This window comes from Homo sapiens, chromosome 9, assembly GCF_000001405.40.
Source record: "Homo sapiens chromosome 9, GRCh38.p14 Primary Assembly".
Classification (NCBI taxonomy): Eukaryota; Metazoa; Chordata; class Mammalia; order Primates; family Hominidae; genus Homo; species Homo sapiens.
This window is the reverse complement of record NC_000009.12, coordinates 19294823-19318395: the sequence shown is the minus strand read 5'-3', so window position 1 is coordinate 19318395 and position 23573 is coordinate 19294823. Positions and strand designations below refer to the sequence as shown.

Genomic DNA, 23573 nt, shown 5'->3' with positions numbered 1-23573 from the left:
ATGAAGTAGGTATCACCCCCATTTTATTAATGAGAAAACTTTATTTATTTATTTATTTTTATTTTTTAATTTTTTTGAGATGGAGTTTCACTCTTGTCGCCCAGGCTGGAGTGCAGTGGCATGATCTTGGCTCTCTGCAACCTCCATCTCCCGAGTTCAAGTGATTCTCCTCCCTTAGCCTCCCGAATAGCTGGGATTACAGGCACACACCACCACACCTGGCTAATTTTTATATTTTTCGTAGAGACAGGGTTTCACCATGTTGGCCAGGCTGGTCTCGAACTCGTAACCTCAGGTGATCTGCCTGCCTTAGTCTCCCAAAGTGTTGGGATTACAGGCGTGAGCCACTGCGCCCATTAGAGAAAACTTTAATAAGCTCCAGGAAGACTTTATAAATAACAAAGTAGAAATTCTAACTCAGATTTGACTCTTAATGCCTATGGACTTCCAGAAAGCCTTTTCTGTTCTTCTCCATTTATCTCCATTCTACCCATTCTTCCAAGTCATGCTTCTTCCACGAAGTCTTCCAAAACACCCATTTTGAAATACTGGAATATTTGGAAGAACATCCCTTTTTTTTCTGAACTCTTAAAACTTCCAAATTAAAACTGTGTAAAATATGTTTTCTTGAGTACTTGTTCTATTTTTAAAATATCTTAATTATTTTCCATTTAAGATCCCATAGAGCTAGGTTTTATACTTCTTTATATTCCTACATAATAACTAGCCAGTAAGTAGTAACTAAATATTTAAGTGGTAAGTTACACTAAAGCAGAAAAGATAAAGGACAAAAGGATTATTGGGAAAATACAGATTTTTTTTAAAGTAATCACTAGGTAAAAAGCACAGAGAAGTAAAATAATTTCACATAAATATTGATATAGATGTAAGATTGCTACTACATATATAACAGTAGCTGAATAACAACAAAAATCTCTATAATTCCCTAAAACAAAACATACTAAAAATAACGAGTATACGTTTTTCCCTGGAACAAAGTTACATTAGTCAAAAATGGTTAAAATGTAGTGCCCTCATTGCACAAACTAATTGTAAAGCCAAAAGTGTACACATCTGGCCAAGTGCAGTGGCTCACACCTGTAATCCCAGCATTTTGGAAAGCCAGGGAGGAGGATCACTTGAGGCCAGGAGTTCAAGTCCAGCCTGGCCAACACAGCAAGACTCTGCTCTATTAAAAAAAAAAAAAAAAAAAAGTGTACAAATCCAAGGAACTATGCAAAATTGAGGAAATACCTGAAGGCAAATCTCCAGTTATGTTCTACTAAAATAACTGACTACAAGATATTGTAAATATAGGTAACATCTTTGACTTTTCATAATTAAATATCTCTAGTTTCAGATTTCTCAGGAGAAAAATGGGCTATAAAAATTACAAGAAATTCTAGTCATAAAGCTAGGTTACAAATACATGGAGGTTCATTATATTTGAATGTGAATTTGTAATAATTTATACAATAAGTATTTCTTGGCAGCAACATCAAATATAAAATATTTTTCACCTCAATAAAAGGAATTGTACTTTCAATGCTACTCACCCTGTCGGTCAAACAATGAATCAGCAGCTGTGGCTTTATTTGAAGGAGCCTCTGTGATTGGTCTGAGATATGTTCTATATCCTTTTAAAATAGACGCCATAAAGCGCAAAAATGCCTCTTGAATTTCCATCTCAAGCTGTGTCATCTTCTTTTGCCAGGAGAAATCTGCTTCAATTGGAGTCATGTCAATCGCTGAGCCTTCTTGAGTTTTTTGGTGAACTAACAAAGGAAATAAAAACAGAAAATGGTATTATGTTAAATTTAAGAAGAATTTTCTCGTATACATTCCTTCATTAATAATATTCCTTTTCCCTCACATTACCTGAAGACAGCTGGGGATACAATTTCTTTAAGGTGCTAAGTAGATTTTTGCACGGCTTTTTGGGAAGTTGCTTCCAGTTCATGTTCTTCTTTTCATCTGATCTATTAAATCAGAACAAAATTCATAAAATGTGTTATTCATAATCTGCTTTTACTAGACAAAATTCTTGCATCAACCTAAAACAAGAAAATGGAAAAGATGTTTTTACTACAGTCTTAACTGATGCAAACAATTTGAATAAGTGAATTTCAAGGAAGTTCTCTTTTCATTCAATCGACCTCTGTCAAATTTAGCCATCTCATTCTAACCTTCCAACATATATTTTCAATGTTGGAGTTAGGAATACAACACTGAAGTCTAGATTCAAAAGTTACATTTTAGAATTATAATATTCTAAGTGTCAAACCTAGTTGACATGAGACTTCAAACTACCTACTGGTAGGCTTCAAAAATGCTGTGTGCCCAAAGACAAGAACTGGAATTTAAGTAAGGATTAAAAGCACATGTAGTTCATCCAGCCCTCACAGTTAAAAATAATCATAACGCCATTATTCAATATAATCTATGATCATGAAACAATAAAAACCAAAGCCAGACCAGCCTGGCCAACATGGTGAAACCCCGTCTCTACTAAAAATACAAAAATTAGCCGGGTGTGGTGGTGTGTGCCTGTAGTCCCAGCTACTCAGGAGGCTGAGGCAGAAGAATCACTTGAACCCAGGAGGCGGAGGTTGCAGTGAGCCGAGATTGCGCTACTGCACTCAGGCTTGGGCAACAGAGCAAGACTATGTCTCAAAAAGAAAAAAAAAAACCCCAAAGCCATAGAGATGACCATTTTTAAAGGTATTACTAAAAGCTTCTTTTTCCAAAATTTTATATTCCGAAAATATAAAATATATGTGTGTGTGTATATATATACACACACATACATATATGTACACGTATATATACACACATACATATATACACGTATATATATACACATACATATATACATGTATATACATACATGTATATATATATATATTCCAAGAATATAAGAATATAAAATACAGCAGACAACTGCCTAAAAAGCCCTCTTCTTACAAAAGTTAGCATAAATATAACAAACTTTCTTTAAAATTCATGGTTAAGCTGGCAAGAAAATTGGGGACATCTTCACGGGTTGAAAACCCAGAGTAACACCAAGGCCACATCTGCCCTGAAGATTAACAGACAGCCTTGGATTTTAAAGGCTTCTCACAGAACAGGACACATAGTTTCAGTCTCACCAAGAAGTATGTTAGAACTGAAACTTCCAAATAAAACTGGTACCCTTGAAAGTCTGGCTCAGCTTTTTCTTTTCTTTTTTTTTTTTTTTTTGAGACGGAGTCTCTGTCGTCCAGGCTGGAGTGCAGTGGTACGATCTCAGCTCACTGCAACCTCCGCATTCCAGGTTCAAGCGATTCTCCTGCCTCAGCCTCCTGAGTAGCTGGGATTACAGGGGCGCGCCATCACGCCCAGCTAATTTTTTATTTTAGTAGAGACAGGGTTTCATCATGTTGTCCAGGCTGGTCTCAAACTCCTGACCTCATGTGATACGCCCACCTCGGCCTCCCAAAGTGCTGGGATTACAGGCATGAGCCACTGCACTCAGCCTGATTCTTTTTTTAACCCAAAATGCTACAGTTGTAAGCCCTTTACCTAAGTCAGTGAATTGCTTAGGTTTCTCTAAATGTAGCATGGCATAATGAAAAGGGCAGAGATTCCAGCTTTAGGATCAACCTGGAACACTGGTTGTACCTTTATTAATGAAATGATTTTTTAATCAGGTTCTATTTTGTATTATTTTTCTTTAGCACTCAGTGCAGTTCACATGCAGTTTTTTTTTCTAAGCAAGTCATTGCATTTTGGAATCTTTTTTTGCATACTTACATCTTTTATTTTAACAAAATATGTCAATGTTTTTTAAATTTCAATAGGTTTTTGGGGAACAGGTGGTGTCTGGTTACATGAATTAGTTCTTTAGTGGTGATTTCTGAGATTTAGGTGCACCCATCACCCAAGTAGTATACACTGTACCCCATGTGTAGTCTTTGAGCTGTCGCCCAGGCTGGAGTGCAGAGGTGCGATCTTGGCTCACTGCAACCTCCACCTCCCAGGTTCAAGCGATTCTCCTGCCTCAGGCTCCTGAGTAGCTGGGACTACAGGCGTGTGGCACCACACCCAGCTAATTTTTTGTATTTTTAGTAGAGACGGGGTTTCACTGTGTTAGCCAGGATGGTCTCGATCTCCTGACCTCGTGATCCGCCTGCATCAGCCTCCCAAGGTGCTGGGGCTACAGGCATGAGCCACTGCGCCTGGCCTCATGTGTAGTCTTTTGTTCCTCAACCTCCTTCCACCCTTTCCCCCAAGTCCCCAAAGTCCATTGTATCATTCTTTTTTTTCCCCTCTCTTGAGGGGAAGTCTCGTTCTGTTGCCCAGGCTGCAGTGGAGTGGCACAATCTCAGCTCACTGCAACCTCTTCCTCCCAGGTTCAAGCGATTTTCCTGCCTCGGCCCACCAGGTAGCTAGCATTAGAGGCACATGCCACCATACCTAGCTAATCACTGCATCATTCTTATGCCTTGTGTCCTCATAGCTTAGCTCCCTCAGCTTGGATTTTGATTAGGGGAGGGATCTCCCCTGAGAATTCATTACTATATGCCTGCCAACTAATGGGTTATGAGTTTGACAGCACGCTACTGGCATGGCACAAGAAACTGTAAGTCAAAATAACTAACTTCAAGTGCTCCCTGGCTTAATGCCACCAGAATGGAAGCAAACATAATATCCTCTCTGTAAGGATAAACGTCTAATAAAAGAGCTAACACTTCCCTTGTGTCTGGTACTGTTAAAAGACATATTTTAACGTCTCTTGAAACTGTGTCTTAAAAGTGATGGCATGTCAAGTTTAACTCTGATCAACTTCTCTCATTTTATGTAATCGCTGTCTAATATTTTAGTGCTATCTTTTAACCCCACCCCCAAATAAAATACTGTCATTATCGTCTGGATTAACATCCATTTGTAATCTGGCCCTGACGTTTACTATCTGTGTGAGTTTGTATACATCAGTCAACTAGTCTGTTACTCAATTTTCTGATCTGCAAAATGAGGACTGATAATGTACCTAATATACAGGGCTACTGTGGGTAGATGAACTACATTTCATCTAATCTAAGGGGCCATCAATTGTAAAATTCATTGTTTTTGTACCAATTAGAGTAAGAGGATATTGCCAATTAAAGTATTTTAAAGTCTACTTTACTGCTTAAAAAAAGAGTAAAATATTAATTTTAAGTTCTAAGTACCCATATTAAAAAATTAAGAGGAATCATTAAAGGAACATAAATATGAAATTATAGACACACATAATATAACATTTAGGTAAGTAGATGGGAAAAAAACAGAATAATTCATTCAATCTGAAAGAGAGAAAAGAATAACAGCAGAACAAAAAGGACAAAATAAGACAGAAATGTTCAAATATATAACAATATATGTAAATTAATGGACTCTTCAATAAAAAGACAAATGTTAGATTGGATTTTTAATGCCAGTTATATACTATGCACAGAATATCTGAAATTAAAGGGATGGGAAAAGATATACCAAACATAATATATCTAACATAACGTATTAATGAGAAGAAAAGCACAAACTAACAAAAAGAGCATCAGTGATTTTTTTTAAAGTGGCTACAAGACAAAAGTATTCATTTCACTGCAGAACCATTTTGAACTTGAGTGTCCCTCATAACACAGCCTTAATTAAGTACATAAAGCAAATGTCCAAATAACTATAAAATGCAATTGACAAATCCACCATCACACTGGGAGTTTTAAAACTTTAGTATGATCACACAGCTCAAAAATAACTTAAAACACATACACACACCCTTGTTCCATGTCTGCTCAGCTCCCTCACCCCCATAATACATAATCACTAGTTTCTTGTGCATATTTTAATGTGTCTTTATTCCAAAACTAGCAGATACAAGTAAATACAACTATTCCCTGCCTTTTCTTTTGCACAAGTAGCAGCACACTGCAATACACAATTACCACCTTGATTTTTTTCATTTAATAATTTGTAGCCGGGCATGGTGGCTCACACCTTTAATCCCAGCACTTTGGGAGGCTGATATAGGCATATCACTTGAGGCCAGCAATTTGAAACCAGCCTGGCCAACATGGTGAAACCCCATCTCTACAAAAAATACAAAAATTAAGTGGCCACGGTGTACACGCCTGTAATCCCAGCTACTCGGGAGGCTGAGGCATAAGAATTGCTTGAGCCTGGAAGGTGGACATTCCAGTGAGCCAAGATCGCGCCACTACACTCCAGCCTGGGCGACAGAGCAAGACTCTGTCTCAAAAACAAACAAACAAAAACAAAATATCTTTTGTGATTTTTTTCCCAATACAGAAAGCATCCTTGCTCATTTTACAGCGCTACAGTAGTATTCCACTGTAGGAGCCATTTAACAAGTCTGGGACATCTGGATTTTTCTTTTTCTATTTTGAACAAACATGATTTCATACAAAATAAAATGTTAGGATCAATTCCTAGAAGTGGAATTGCTGTAGTATATATATTTGTAATTTTGACAAATGTTGCCAGATATCCTCCATAGAAGCTGTCATCATATATATCTCACTTCTAACTGCAGTGAATGCATAAAGACTGCTTATTTCCCATCATCCTCAAATAGCATGCTATTTAAGCATTTCATTTTGAATTTTTTTTTTCTTTTTGGCCAATCTGAAAAGTGAAAAAGCAGTATCAACATGAAGAACTAATGTGGCATTTCTCCTATAATGAGTGAGGTGCTTAAGCATTAAATAAGCTTAAGCTTATTTGATTTTCCGTGAAAAGTCTTCATAGTCTTTGCCTATTTTTCTATAGAGTTATTGGTCTTTTGACAATTTCTAGGAACTCTTTCACATAGAATATTTACAAAAACTGACGATATACTTGGCTTCAAAGCAAATCTCAACAAGTAGTAACAGAGAATGTTCTGATCACAATTCAACGGAGTTAGCATTTAAGAGAAAATAAACTTTGTGGGGGCCAGGCGCAGTGGCTCATGCCTATAATTCTAGGACTTTAGGAGGCCGAGGTGGGCGGATCACCTGAGGTCAGGAGTTCCAGACCAGCTTGGCCAACATGGTGAAATCCTGTCTCTACTAAAAATACAAAAAAATTAGCCAGGCATGATGGTGCATGCCTGTGGTCCCAGCTACTCAGAAGGCTGAGGCACAAGAATTGCTTGAACCCAGGAGGTGGAGGTTGCAGTGAGCCAAGATTGGGCCACTCTACTCCATCCAGCGTGGGAGACAGAGCAAGACTCTGTCAAACAAAGGAAAAAAACTTTGGAAATTCAAAAGACAAACTTTAATGTAATACATAAGTCAAATAAATTTTTTTGATAAAAATAAAGAATATTTAAAGTCTACAAAAATAAAAGCATTATATACAAAGTATGGTCCGCAACTAAAAAGCCATACATCAGGCCAATATCATTTATGAACATCAATGCAATTATCTTAAATTCTTAGCAAATTTAATCCACTATAATGATGTTTATTTCAGGAATACAAGGACTGTCTACTACTAATTGATTTTATAATGTAATTTACCACACAGAGTAAAGGAGAAAATGCTCATCTCAACAGCTGAACAAAAAGGTTTTTTTTTTCCTTTCACATCAGACAGGTAATATGCCAACATCAAGTTGTAGGAGGCACATCTCACACATGTGCGTGAACATCCAATCATCAACGCTTATCAACTATAAGAAGATCACAAAAAGTATTTATAAAATTCAGTATCTACTTATGATTTAAAAAAAATTTTAATGACATAGAAGTAGAAGGTAAATTCCTTAATTTATAATTAAGATATCAAAACTCTAGAGGAAGGATAGGCAAATTTTTACTGAAAGAACCAGACAGTAAATATTTTAGGCTTTAAGGACCATACAGTCTCTGTCATAACTACTCAAATGTGCTGTTGCATCATGGAAGCAGGCATGGGCCATATGTAAATGAATGAGCATGGCTGTGTTCCAATAAAACTTTATTTACAAAAACAAGCTTTGGGCCAGATGTCAATCCCTGTTGTATATCAATAATCATACTTTATGACAAACTGCTCAAAGTATCCCCTTTGAAATTAGAAACAAGACAAGATACCAACTATAACTACTTCTGTTCAACATTACACTAGCGATCCTAGCTGGAGAATTAAGATAAAAAATTTTAAAATACATTAGGATAGTGTAAGTAGAGAAATGTGATGTTTATAGGCAGAAAATTGAAGATAATATACAAATTAAAAAAGGAATTCAACTAAGTTGCTAGATATAAGACCACTATATAAAAATCAACTACATTTCCTAGCAACAAGTAGAAAGTCTAATTTAAAATACCATCTACAGTAGCAATAAAAACTGAAAGATACTTAGGAATAAATAAGTCTAACAAAAGATGTGAATTATCTTTCTGGAGAAAACACAAAGTTCACCAAAAAATTCTGAAAAGACCAATGAAGTGAAATATCACATTCATGGGTCATATTTCTTGTGCATATTTTCAACGTGTGTCAAAAAGGTATCATCTGCCTCCAAACGAATCTATAAATACAATATATATTAACCACTTCAGGTAAACATTCCATGATGTATACATACACCAAAGCATCACATTGCACCCCATAAATATATACAATTACGATATCAATTAAAAAAAATTTAAAAGGTAAAAAAAAAAATTCTAACAAAAATCCCAATGTAATTTTGTGTGGAGCTTAATAAGATGGTATTAAAATTTACATGGAAAAACAAAAGACCAAATAGAGTCAAAACAATTTTTAAAAAGAACAGGAGTAAGGGGATTCACCATGGACATTGCCAAAAAAAAAGTCTCATACCATGACTTTTTAAAACAGTTTTATTAAGATATAAATTCATACACCATACAATTCACACATTTGACCTGTGCAATTCAATGGTTTTTATCATATTCACGGAATTGTGTAACCACCACTACAATCAATTTTTTTTTTTTTTTTGAGATGGAGTTTTGCTCTTATTGCCCAGGCTGGAGTGCAATGACACGATCTCAACTGACTGCAACCTCTGCCTCCTGGGTTCAAGCAATTCTCCTGCCTCAGCCTCCCGGATAGCTGGGATTACAGGCATGCACCACCATGCCCGGCTAGTTTTGTTTTGTTAGTAGAGATGGGGTTTCTCCATGTTGGTCAGGCTGGTCTCAAACTCCCGACCCCAGGAGATCCACCCGTCTCAGCCTCTCAAAGTACTGGGATTACAGGCGTGAGCCACCACTCCCGGCCTACAAGCAATTTTAGAATATTTTTATCACCTCAAAAAGAAATCCCATAGTCACTTAGCTTCCAATACTCCCATCCTCTTCATTCCAAGGCAATCACTAATCAATCTACTTTCTACCTCTAGAGATTTGTCTGCTTTGGACATTTCATTGAATTATAATATAAGGTCTTTTAACATAATGTTTTCAAGGTTCATTCATGTTGTAGACAACTTAATTTTAAAGCCATTAAGACAGTATAATACTGGCAAGAGATTGAAGCAAATCAAAGGAAAAGAATTAGCCCAGATACATATTTATACAAATGTAGAAACTGATATGTCACATCAAGTTTAGCTGAATTAAATAACTAAATGAGAGAGGCAAACCTCACAACTTAAGAAATAACCATGATAGTATTTCATGGCCTCAAGGCAAAATATCTCATATACAAGAACCAAAAACAGTACTCCATAAAGAGAAATTAATAAATTTGATAAATTAAGATGAGCCCCTGTTTATCAAAAGATACCATAAACACAATGGAATGACAGGTCACAATGTGGGAGAAGCTATCTGGAATGCATACAGCAGACAAAGAATTAATTCCAGATTATATATACAATTTCTACAAATCAAAAGAAAAAGACAAACAATCTAACAGGAAAATGTACCAACAAAAGGAACATCCAATTCACAGGAGAGGAAAACCAAGGGGCACAAAGATATGAAAATCCTCCATTTGCTACTAATAAAGGAAATGTGAATTAAAGCCACAGTGAAATACCATTACCATCAAATTGGTAAAAAATTTAAAAGTCACCACAAGTGTTGGCAAAGATATGAAACAAAGAGAACTCTCATCTGCTGAGGACGGAGTAAACTTGGGAGAGTAATCTGGTATTAGCTATTAAGTTGAAAATGCTCATTCCCTACCAAGCAACATTAGCGCTTCCAGGTATATGCTTCAGAGGAATTCCTGAGCATATACTCAAGGAAATATATACGATGATCAGAACAGCTTTGTTCCTAACATCAAAGATCTAGATACAACCTAGATGTCCATCAACATTGATCACTGTTGAAAATGAACTGAATGAACCTCACAAAGAATGGTGAGCAAAAAAGTAATTCACAGAAAACTATTCAAGTAGAAAAAAATTTATAAGTATGCAAAACAAAATTTTATTTAGATTAATATATATATAATAAATGTTTGAAAAATACATGTATGTGATAAACTCCAAATCTAAGATGATGGTTGGATTTGGAGTTTATCCAAGATGATGGTTGGATCTGGAGCTCCTCTCTGGGAGAAAGGAGCAAAATATGGTTGTGGAGGACTATCTAGGGATTTCAGATTTATTGCTAATATTTTCTTTTTTTTTTTTTTTTTGAGACAGAGTCTCGCTCTGTCGCCCAGGCTGGAGTGCAATGGCATGATCTCCGCTCACTGCAACCTCCACCTCCTCAGTTCAAGCAATTCTCTTGCCTCAGACTCCCGAGTAGTTGGGATTACAGGCGCCCACCACCATGCCTGGCTAATTTTTGTGTTTTTAGTAGAGACGGAGTTTCACCATGTTGGCCAGGGTGGTCTTGAACTCCTGACCTCAGGTGATCCATCTGCCTCGGCCTCCCAAAGTGCTGGGATTACAGGCATGAGCCACTGTGCCCGGCCTATTTCTTAATAAAGTTGTGGTGAATAGATACAAGTTATTTACATTATTCTGTATAATTTGGAGGTATTTCTTCTTTTTTTTTTTTTTTTTTTTGAGACAGAGTCTTGCTCTGTTACCCAGGCTGCAGTGCAGTGGGTCAACATGGGTCACTGCAGCCTCGACCTCCTGGACTACAGTGATCTTTCCTCCTCAGCTGCCTGTGTAGCTGGGACTACAGGCACGCACCACCACTCCTAGCTAATTTTTTATTTTATGTAGATGGAGTCTCACCAAGTTGCCCGGGCTGGCCTTAAACTCCTGGGCTCAAGTGATCCTCCTGCCTCAGCCTCCGAAAGTACTGAGATTAAAGGTGTGAGACACTACACCTGGGCACATTTTATAATTCTTTAAACACAATTGAGCATGCCGGGCACAGTGGCTCATGCCTGTAATCCCAGCACTTTGGGAGGCCAAGGTGGGTGGATCACCTGAGGTCAGCAGTTCAAGACCAGCCTGGACAACATGGTAAAACCTCATCTCTACTAAAAATACAAAAAAATTAGCCAGGTGTGGTGGCACACGCCTGTTAATTCCCGCTACTCGGAAGGCTGAGGCAGGAGAATCACTTGATCCCAGGAGGCGGAGACTGCAGAGAGTCAGGATTGCACCACTGCAACTCTGTTGCCTGGGCAACACAGTGAGACTCTGTCTCAAAATAAATAAATAAATAAATAAATAAATAAATAAATAAATAAATAAATACAATTGTGCAAACACTTCACATTTATTTTAGAAAATAATGTTTTGATTACCAGAAGTTTTATAAAAGTTACTCAAAACTGCGCAAAATTAAGAATCTCCATATTATTTTATTCAGAATAAAAATAAAATAAGGTAAAAAATCTGAGTATTAACTTCACAAATAATCATTTCTAAAAGTACCACAATGAATACATTCCTGAAATAATTGTTTTTCAGGGAGAGTAGCCTACAAACAATAAAATGTGTGCTACAAAAAACTAATTCATGCAAGTTGTTCATTACTTTCAAGCTGTAAGTAAATCTAAATATACATAAGGAGCCACTATAGCTATACAGTTTCAAAATACAATGGTAGATCCATGTCAAAATTATATTTTAAGTTATAGCAAATGTTTTCTTCCTCCCTTAGGTTATTTTTTTGGTTCACATAAAAATATTTTCCCAACGAATTCTACTGTTGGAACTATTCAGGCCTTACCCAAAATATTTCTCTCTTCATTTTCTACCAATCTCAAACAGTAAAGAATAAAAGCGTTCTACGGCCTGGAAGTTGGCACCAACATAAGAACATTTTTAATACTTACTGTCCTTTCCCACTTTTGGTGGGGAAGTGGTAACCCTTAAACATCCATCCAGAACTATTTCTTTTATTAATGTAGTTTGCTACTCTCTGAACCCTCAGCTGTACCACTGCTGTACTTAATTATCACCTTCAGCAAACACAAACTATCACTGATTTTTAATATAAATTTCTAAGCAGTAAACAACAGATCCTTATAAAATTAAAATCCCGACAACTAAGCAAATGGTATAATATCACCCTATACTGTAGCCAAACTTTATCTCCAATGGGTAAACCCATTTTACTTACATATGGATTTTGAATTAAACCCAGAAAGCATATCATCTCTTGAGCTCTGAAAGCAGTGTTTAACCATTACTTTTCCAACTCATAGTCTCTTCTGATAAACATAAATATCTCCTGCTTACATTTAATATTGTTACCCAAATATAAACTATTATAATACTGAACATTTTTTTTTCCCAAATCACACAGCATTCCCAGATTCTGATACCTGCCCTGGTTGAGAGCTGCTGTATTTAAGACGAAGATTTAACAACTACCAAAAATAGCATATTTCTAGATGCTTTCAAAGAACTGTAACTCTACATAGTGAAAAATATAAATGGGAGATAATATAAAATGAATCAACTTACACATATAACATGTTCGTATCCAAGTCAATGCAAACAACATCTTGTGGTGGGTCATGAAGATCAAAATACCTTGAGTCAACTCCAACTATAAATGGTAAAGGTGCACTAAGCACTGCAGCCAGTGAAAGAGGACAAAGGGGAATATATGGGCATTGCCACTGAAATGGAAAGATCATCTGGGGAAAAAGTTTTAAAAAATTAACCAAATTTTAAATTTGCAATAAAAAATATATAAGTAACTAGTATTACTGAAAAGGGACCACTGAAAAGCAGTTAAGTCTGTTTTGTTTACCTTAAACTTCATTCCAAAACTAAATGACTATAAAATACTACTAAGCAATGCTAAGAACAAATGTAATTAAAATTTTCAAGCCATGACGATGATCATAAGCACAATAAAAATACTAACAGCTTTTTGCATGTTAATTCTTCTAGTATCTATACAAAGCACACATTCCAATTTTATGGAAAGAATCAAAATAAAATAAAATGGCCCCAAATATCATAAAATAAACTTATTATCTTTAACTCTTACACATTTCATTCACCTATTAATTCTCAAAATTACCTCAGATCAAAATCCAACTAAAAGCATCCAGGATTTAAAAAAAAAAAAAAACTAATTATTTTCCAGGGAATGCTAACAGATAATTAAAGAGCTCAACAAAAAAAAATTCATGGCCGGGCGCGGTGGCTCACGCCTGTAATCCCAGCACTTTGGGAGGCCAAGGCGGGTGGATCACAAGGTCAGGAGATCGAGACCATCCTGGCTAACAAGGTGAAACCCCGTCTCTACTAAAAAAAAAAAAAAAAAGTACAAAAAATTAGCCAGACGTGGTGGTGGGCCCCTATAGTCCCAGCTACTCGGGAGGCTGAGGCAGGAGAATGGCGTGAATCTGGGAGGTGGAGCTTGCAGTGAGCAGAGACTGTGCCACTGCACTCCAGCCTGGGTGACAGAGTGAGACTCGGTCTCAAAAAAAAAAAAATTCGTAACTCTTCAAATAAACATCAGTGATGTTTGACATCTTAAAAATACTGTCAATTGGCTGGGCACGGTGGCTCACATCTATAATCCCAGCACTTTGGGAGGCTGAGGTGAGTGGATCACTTGTGGTCAGAAGTTTGAGACCAGCCTGGCCAAGATGTACAAACCATGTTTCTACTGAAACACAAAAATTAGCTGAGTGTGGTGGCACATGTCTGTAATCCCAGCTACTCGGGAGGCTGGGGCAGGAGAATCGCTTGAACCCGGGAGGCAGAGGTTGCAGTGAGCCGAGTTTGCACCACTGCACTCCAGCCTGGGCAACAGAGCAAGACTCTGTCTCAAAAAAAAAAAAATCAATATAAAATATTCCTCTATCTAGACATGATAAGACAGAAAAAGAAAAAAGAGAAAAAAACATTCCTCAAGAATCTTTACCCATTTTCCTTTACAAAGCTTTACTTCAATTGCATCATTTGTGGGTTTTTTTTTTTTTTAAAAAAGACAGGTTTTGATGTTTTTTAAAAAAGACTAAAACATGTTAAGGCCAAATGCAGTGATTCTCAACACTTTGGGAGGCTGAGGCAGGAGGACTGCTTGAGGCCAGTAGTTCAAGGCCAGCCTGGACAACAGAGTGAGACCCTCATCTCCACAAAAAAATTAAATAAATGAATAAATTTTACAAAAAAAAATTTAATAATTAGCTAGTACTAAAATTTTACTGATGATAATGTTTTTCTTCTACTATAAAAATCCCTGTTATCTTTTAAGGTCTAGTTCAATTATCACCCTTATCTGTCATCACTCACCCCAAAGAAATGCCTATAACGCTTACTACCCCTGCCAGCTATTACAGAGGGTTATTCAGGATTGGAATTTTGTCTTCAAACATTTATTTACTTAATATTTGGGCACTTGCTATGTACCAATCACTGTTCTACATAATGAGAGCTTAACAATAAATGAAAGAGATCACTCTCCTCATGAGGTTTATAGTTTAGGATAAAAGTCAGCAACTTTTTCTGTAAAAGACAGTAAATATTTTAGGCCTTGTGAACCATATTGTCTCTGTCACAACCATTTAACTCTGCTGTCATGCATGAAAGCAGTCATAGGCAATATATGAATAAATGGCCTGTGTTCCAATAAAACTTTATAGAAACAAGTGGCAGGCAGGATTTGGCAGGCAGGATTCGGCCACCATTTGCAAACACCTTGTCTAGCAGGAAGAGAGAAAATAAATGAAAAACATAAGGAATAAAATATTATACTACAGGTTGAGCATCCCTAACCTGAAAATCCAAAATCCAAAGTGCTGCAAAATCCAACACTTTTTGAGCACCAACATGACACAGAAAAGAAATTGCTCACAGAAGCATTTAGGACTTCAGATTTTTAGATTAGGGATGTTCAACCAGCATGTATTCTGCAAACATGCCAAAATCCAAAAAAGTCCTCAATCCAAAGCACTTCTTTCCAAGCATTTTAGATAAGGGATATTCAACCTATATGTCAGAAAGTAATAAGTGCTATGAAAAAAAAAAAAGGAAAAGTAAAGCCAAGTAAAGGACATTAGAGTTCAGAGCAGAAGAGAAGAAAAGCAGGTTCTATTAGGACAAACAGAACAGGACTCATTAATAAAGTGACAACAGAGCTGAAACCTGAAGAAGGTGAGAGATTTAGCCAAGGGGATATATAAGAGAAGAGTGCTTTAATGAGAAGGAACAGCTAGGGCAGAGGCCTTAAGGTATGGGGAATGCCTAATGCTCCCGGGATGGTAAGGCCAGAATGCTGGAGAAGAGTGAGCAAGAGGAAGAGGAGTGGAAAATAAGATCAGATTGCTGAAGGGCAGAGCCACTCACAAAGGACCCTGCAAGGACTTCAGATTTCTTTGAGTGACAATTATCTTCTATTCAACAAAAGGTATGTTACACCTGCAACTATCACTCACAAAGGATCCTGCAAGGACTTCAGATTTCTTTGAGTGACAATTATCTTCTATTCAACAAAAGGTATGTTACATCTGCAACTATCACTCACAAAGGACCCTGCAAGGACTTCAGATTTCCTTGAGTGACAACTATCTCCTTTTCAACAAAAGGTATGTTACACCTCCAACTATCTAAGAAACCTTAGAAAAAAAGCTATATGCTAGCAAAATATGATATCCTTCTCTTCACCTTTGCCTTTTTGCAACACTATAGGGTCACTTTTTATAAAGCACTTGTACATTTTATCAATCTTTGCTATGGGTCTCCCTTAATTCTTTGATATTCTTTGATATTTAAATCATTCTCCTTTTGATGCATTTGTTTTGTAACCATTCTTTTCAATGTTCTCTTCTTCAAATGGTAACTGGCATAACTACCAAATCATGACTTATAAATAATTTTGCATGCAATTCAGACAGCTCTCCAACATCAGTTGCATAAACCTCATATACTCTGGCATTTTTCATATGATTACCAATTCCATGTAGCACTTTTTTCAGCTGTTCTTGCACCATACTACTGAAATCCATCAAAAGACTTGGCCACCACGATTCTGACAAAGGGGCTTCAATAAACACTGTTTTAGTAAGGAATATTTTGGTGGGAACTTATTTTTTTTGAGACGGAGTCTTGCTGTGTCACCAGGCTGGAGTGCAGTGGCGCAATCTCAGCTCATAGCAACCTTCACCTCCTGGGTTTAGGCGATTTTCCTGCCTCAGCCTCCCGAGTAGCTGGGACTACAGGCGTGCACCACCACGCCCAGCTAATTTTTGTATTTTTAGTAGAAATGGAGTTTCACCATGTTGGCCAGGATGGTCTCGATCTCTTGACCTCGTGATCTGCCTGCCTTGGCCTCCCAAAGTGCTGGGATTACAGGTGTGTGCCACACTGTGCCTGGCCTGGGTGGGAACTTTCTAGAACTGGTCAGTTCATTAACAAATATTTTCATATTCTAACAACTTTTGCTTTCACACACAACTGTGATGACTTGGAAAAGTAATACTTAATGAGGATCCTCCTGGAAGCTTTCTCATATGGTTACTATTGTTTTCAGTCCTAACAGCACTTCTTCAACCAGATTAAGATCTTGGAGACATACCCCATTTGTTGTTTTAACAAGTATTTACTGAGGGCCTACTCTGTGCTAGGCAACTGTAACAAGTGCTGAAAATACAGGAGTAAACAAGAGATTAGGTCCTTACTCCCAGGAGACTTACATTCTTAAAATGGGGAAGGGAAGAGAAGAGAGTCAGCTATTTTAAATTAAACAACTAATGGGTGATAGGGTTGGAGAAGTGGACCATCTAAAGTTCTATACAATGGCCTATAAAGCCCTATACAATCAGACTTCATTCTTCAGTCTTTTTTTTTTTTTTGAGACGGAGTTTCACTCTAGTTGCCCAGGCTGGAGTGCAATGGTGTGATCTCAGCTCACCATAACCTCCGCCTCCTGGGTTCAAGCAATTCTCCTGCCTCAGCCTCCTGAGTAGCTGGGATTATAGGCATGTGCCACCACACCCGGCTAACTTTGTGTTTTTAGTAGAGCAGGGTTTCTCCATATTGGTCAGGCTGGTCTCGAACTCCTGACCTCAGGTGATCCGCCTACCTCAGCCTCCCAAATTGCTGGGATTACAGGTGTAAGCCACCATGCCTGTCAATCAGACTTCATTCTAAGTGCAATGGGAAGCCAAAGGGTTTTAAGCAGGGAACAACTTTAATTTCTTAACAATTTAACAATTTAATTTTATTTACGCTTTACACAAGAGCTAAGCCTCTGTATATTATCCTATTTCACAATCACTTAGAATTTCCTGTATATTACTGATTCACAATTATTAAAAGTTAAAATAGGGAGAAATTAACCATGTAATCATTTGCATAATTTTAGAACAGCTGAAATTGGCCAGAGCCTCTCAATACAACCAGCTTCATTCTCAGGTTTTATTATATAATCATATAGTTTTTACTCTGGGAAGAACTCAAAAATATGAAAAATTGGAAATTGACGTTTTTCCTAAAATAGAAATCACCTTTGTTTTCTTTATATTTCCTACTTCTCTTTGCCAGCAGATTATATTCAACTTTTACTGGGCTGGAAATTTTTCAAAGTTCCTTTTTTTAAATTTGTTGTTGTTTACAAAGTTGCTGTTTTTGAAGAAAATTTCCCTTTGGAGTAAAAATTATGTCAGTAATTTTGTACTAAAAGGAAAATTCTATACTTACAGCTACAACAGCTTCAGCTACCCCAGTCAAGACAGCTGGCCTAAGAGAATGCAGCAGAATTTTACTCTCAAGTAAAACAAAGAGCAGCAGTGTTGCACAATTCTCAGGACCCAGATTCATTAGCAAGGTGCTAAAGTTGGCTCCACTAGGGAAAAAAAAGAGAAAAGTAGATCATTGTGAACTATTTTGCTGAAATATGTTAAGATTTGCTTATTAAAGTATCAACAGATTGAGAGTCTAGTGTTAATTTCTAGTCTTTACTTATTTATCAATGAAAAGTAGCAAATTTAATAAGATAGATAACGGGGTGATTTAAACTCATCCTCTGGTAATAAAAGGCATTTATCAAGAAAGATTTTCCTGAACAGCCATTTGAGTTGAGCTCAGAAGAATGGAGACAAGGATGGGAGTGAAGGGGTGACAGACAATATATGCAAGGGCCCTGGGGCAAGAAAAAGCTGTTGTCATAGCCAAGAAATTGAAATAAATCTATTGTGACTAAAGCATAGTAAGGGAAAGGGTGAAAACAGCAACAGATTAGGCTGAAATTGAAATATACTATTATATTTGCGTTTTCAAAAGGACACACTGGCTACAGGGTGGATAAAGAACTAAAGGAAGATAAGTAAAAAGGTACCAATTAAGAGGCTAATAGTGAAATAGTCTGGTAAGACATCAAGGAAGCCTACTATGATGCAGATGAAAAGAAGTAAAAGGATTTGAGACATTTAAAAGGTTAAAATCAGCTCACCTTAAACCTTTAGTTATGAACTGGATATGGGAAGGGGAGATGAGAAGAAAAGGGAAGTATCCTCTACATCCAATCTTGCAACTCTCTTAATTGTTCCCATTTATAAAATAGCCCCACCATCCACCCAGTTACCAAAGTCAGAAACATTAAGGCTATTTTTGCCTAGTTTTAACTAATAAAGTTAATTGTAAAATAACAATCACTAATATATTAATAATATACTAATCACTAAAATATTTTAAAGCATTCTGCTCCAACTGAATAAATATATCATTTTAAATACCAGTAATTACCTTAGTGGTAAAGGTGTAGAAACTGGCTGTGATAATATTAATGCATCATGGACTGACAGCTTAAAAAAAAAAAAAAGATAAATTAACCAAAGATAAATTAACCAAACCAAGAGATAAGTTTCAAAACTACTTTTGAAATCTATATATTTAGATCAAAGGTAATATTGAAAACATTAATAATTTAATATGCAAACACACTTTTGGAAACAGGTACTAAAATATAAAATGATAGCTGTATTTACTCAGAAGTGTTACATTAGTTCTTTTTCATTAAATGGTTAATTTGACTGAATTTTGATTCACTTAATTGGTTAAAGTACAATTATTTAAAATTTATGGAACTACTGCTTCTGAAAAGCTTCAAATTCATTTACTCAACAGACTGTAGGCACTTGGCAGTTGCTTGGCACGTAAATACTTGTGGAACTGAAATAACATTCAAGATCAACAATATCTGACTTAATCCCACCATACATAATGTTAAGAATGTCTTAGAAAAACTTTTAAATGGCTTCCCTCTATAGATCAGTGCTACTGAAAGTATGTTAAGTATGTCAGTAAGTTAATTGTTATGGTCCAGAAAGATACAGTATATAAATGAAGAGCAAACCATTAAGCAACTTTTATGACAATCTGACCTCTCTCCTATATCCAAGCATGTGATCAGTAGAACTATTATTATAGAGAGGATATAGACCTGTTCATGTTGCATATGTCACAAGCTGTACACCTACCTACGTCTGCTACTTACTGAAAATAAAAAGAAACTGGTCCTTTAGCACAGTACTATTATAGACCTTGTTTAAATTAACCTCCTCCAACCATTGCTCATTTTATATTCAATATTTATTAGAGAATCTGGTATTAAAAACATGCCCAAACATAATCTGGGTTTTATGTTATTAAAACTAGCTACATAAAGGTCATGCATGGGCCAAAAATGAAAATGTTATGAACCAAGGGTTATAATTATTCCAATTCAGTACACTCAAATCCAAAACCCAGTAAGAAAGGGTGTTCAGTAAAGCTACAAAGCACAGAAAATCCAAGGACTTTATGAATGCATATTGCTCCACCTCAAACCCAAAGGTATACAGAATCCACTCTGCAATGACTCAGGTGAGCATATGCAAAGTTCTCCCCAAATATACTCTCTTTTGATTACCTGGACAAGGATTCTCGGTCTTTGTGGTGAAGGAAAAGGGATGTTTTGCATAAAATGTGAAATGTGCCTAGAAAAAAAAATTTGAAATAAATATAATAATTACTTTTCTAAATGCATCACAGTTTTTAACAAATCTTAAATATCACTATATATCATCCCAGATATGACATGGCCATTTATCTAAAATGTAGGCTAAGTAAGTAAATTTGCTCCATGTAAATGAATTTATCCATGCCCATTAAACTTCTGAAATACACAATGTATTTCCTGACTTAAAGTCTATTTATATCCCCTATCATTACCCAACAAATAAAAATAACATAAAAATAGTTTTCATGAAAGAAGTGAATTTTTATAGCCCTGGTTATCTGTGCCAGTACAGGGAGCAACTAACTGTGCTATAATGAATTTACACTAAAATTCAGTTTAATCCCAGATTTACTCCTCTAACACTGGATGAACCACCTACCCATTCTATTTTTGCACCTATAAAAATTGCTTCTTAAGTTTCTCCAAAGTTTGGAGCTCTTAGGAGCCATAAAAACGCAACATATTACTTCAACTGAAAAAAATATTGATTATATACATTGATTTTATCACAAGCTATTCATAGAATCTTAATTTTTCAAAAGGTTGCTAACTTGACACTAATGTTACATTTTACTTCAATAAACTTTAAATTAATCTGACAGCTGAAAGTTAAACCCAGAACTATAAATCATTAAACTGCCATTTCAAGAGTACAAAATGAAAGTTGCAACCATATTTCAATATCAAATTATGATGAGTTTATGCACAGTACTTCACTCTTTTTAAAGTTGATTTTTGGACAGCATTATTTTTAAACCCTCACATAATTACCCCTACCTTATCCACTAAACTAGTATGTTTCACTGATATTCTTTCTGCTATAATGTAAAAGTTCTGAAATTGTAAGAAACATCTAAGCTTACACATACTTTAATACATTACAGCTCTTGACACTTTTTAGTTTGTTAGCAGGATACATAAATTATAAACTATCATAAACAGAAGTCAATGCGCCACTAGAAATCAGAAAAGATGCTTTAAAAAAGAGTAGCTCAACATACATTTTTCTTTCTTAGGAAAGAAAGATCGCATGACAAAAAGAATTAAAAATTAAAGAGAAAGCTCAAATAATTCTGTCAATGCTAAAACCAAAACTCCACTTTTAACATCAATTAACTCATTCCGACTAATTTCTACATCACTTTAGAGAGGTATTACGGTTAGAATTTGGAATGGCCACTTGCATTGGTGGGTGTGTGTGCAGCAGTAACTATTTGTCTCTTGGTTATTAGAGAATAAATAGGAAGAAGAACACTCACAATATAATTTATAAGAGTTACTTCTTCAGCTGAATTCTCAAAGGATTATTATTTGGCCAACCTTACCACTACTATCCAATTTTAAGCTCACAGTCAATGATTCAGGCGAAGAAGGGAGTAAGTAAAAAGTTGGTGGCTCATGCCTGTAATCCCAGCACTTTGGGAGGCTGAGGCAGGTGGACCATGAGGTCAGGAGTTCAAGACCAGCCTGGCCAAGATGGTGAAACCTTGTCTCTACAAAAATTAGCCAGGCGTGGTGGCAGGTGCCTGTAATCCCAGCTACTCGGGAGGCTGACACAGAGAACTGCATGAACCCAGGAGGTGGAGGTTGCAGTGAACCAAGATCACACCACTGCACTCCAGCCTGGGTGACAGAGCAATACTCCATCTCAAAAAAAAAAAAAAAAAAGTTCAGTTAAATGCAGGCTTCCTTCCCTTCCAACTTTGCTGCTAAAAATTACACAAACAAATGTATATATTTATATACCCAGTTTTCCACCAGCCATCTTTCTAATCATTATACATACTTTTCAATGGGAAGAGGATGTGGTCCAGACACAGAAAGTTTGTAGATAAACATAAGAAATTTCCTAAAAGCTTCAAAAAAAGGCCAGTGTGAGAGTAAACAAATGCATTTGTTTGTATTGATGGATTTGGAGACCATTTTTCTCTCCACAGGCGTCAACAAGCCCAGGTGCATAAGCTGTTTCTCTGATAGAAGTTCCCGAGAGTAAGGTTCATAAAACTGAATGGCAGCTCCATATACCTAAAGAGTAACAGAATTCTGTTATAAGATTTGAGTTTGTTTGAAAAAATTAACTTCTCTTTTTTTCTTATTACACAAGAAATATTTGCTTGGAGTACACTTATACAGATAAATTATGAAAAAAAAAATCTCACCCAAATTTCTGTCCCAGAGATAACCAGATTTTGATATAAATCCCTCAAGATTTTTTCCACTGCAATTTTATACATTCAACTATGTATCTTATACAAAAATGGATGGTAACCTCTTACAACTTAAGCATTAGAGAATGAACTCTAATGATCTCACTCAACTTAAGTTTTTTGTGGATTTTTCTTTTTCTTTTTTTTTTTTTTTTTGAGATGGAGTCTCACTCAGTCGCCCAGGCTGGAGTGCAGTAGCGCAATCTCAGCTCACTGCAACCTCCGCCTCCCAGGTTCAAGTGACTGCTTCAGCCTCCCGAGTAGCTGGCATTACAGGCATGTGCCACCACACCTGGCTAATTTTTTTTTTCCTTTTTTTTTGAGATGGAGTCTTGCTCTGTCACCCAGGCTGGAGTACAGTGGCACGATCTCGGCTCACTGCAAGCTCCACCTCCTGGGTTCACGCCATTCTCCTGACTCAGCCTCCCAAGTAACTGGGACTATAGGCGCCCACCACCACACCTAGCTAATTTTTTGTATTTTTAGTAGAGACAGGGTTTCACCGTGTTAGCCAGGATGGTCTCGATCTCCTGACCTCATGATCCGCCCACCTCGGCCTTCCAAAGTGCTGGGATTACGGCGTGCGCCACTGCGCCCGGCCTAATTTTTTCTATTTTTAGTAGAGACGGGGTTTCACTGTGTTAGCCAGGATGGTCTTTATCTCCTGACCTGGTGATCCACCAGCCTCAGCCTCCCAAAGTGCTGGGATTATAGGCATGAGCCACTGCACCCGGCCTGTGATTTTTTTTTAATTGGGGTGAAATATATATAACATTAAACGTACCACTTTAACCATTTTCAAGTGTACAATTCACTGGTATTAAGTACCTTCACAATGCAGTGCACCCAGTAGCACTATTCATTTCCAGAACTTTTTTCATTACCCCAAACAAAAGCTCTGTAACCCTTAAATGGTAACTTCCCATTCTCTTGCCCTCAATCCAAGTCCCTGGTAATCTCTATTGTACTTTCTATCTCTATAAGGGTAGCTATTCTAGGTACC

General features: G+C 36.6%; 1 protein-coding gene and 1 pseudogene across 39 annotated transcripts in view; both read right to left on the bottom strand.

Annotated features, from left to right (window-relative positions):
• DENND4C (DENN domain containing 4C) overlaps positions 1–23573 on the bottom strand; it is a 143769-nt gene that overhangs the window by 55886 nt on the left and 64310 nt on the right. For 27 of the 39 annotated variants that reach the window (NR_169842.1, NR_169852.1, NR_169854.1 and 24 more), the window contains 7 exons: positions 22150–22388; positions 20274–20340; positions 19109–19167; positions 18065–18209; positions 12869–13044; positions 1879–1979; positions 1557–1775 (listed from right to left, as the gene is read on the bottom strand). The exons of 1 other annotated variant lie outside the window; for it this stretch is intronic. Coding sequence is in view for 24 of the 38 variants with exons in the window: in NM_001386047.1 (NP_001372976.1) it covers positions 1557–1775; positions 1879–1979; positions 12869–13044; positions 18065–18209; positions 19109–19167; positions 20274–20340; positions 22150–22388 (1006 nt within the window). In the remaining 14 variants the exon portion in view is untranslated. The remainder of the gene's footprint in view (positions 1–1556; positions 1776–1878; positions 1980–12868; positions 13045–18064; positions 18210–19108; positions 19168–20273; positions 20341–22149; positions 22389–23573) is intronic. 11 more of the 39 variants (NR_169850.1, NR_169848.1, NM_001386039.1 and 8 more) reach the window with 5 other exon arrangements.
• On the bottom strand, positions 7608–7705 carry LOC124902350 (uncharacterized; annotated as a pseudogene).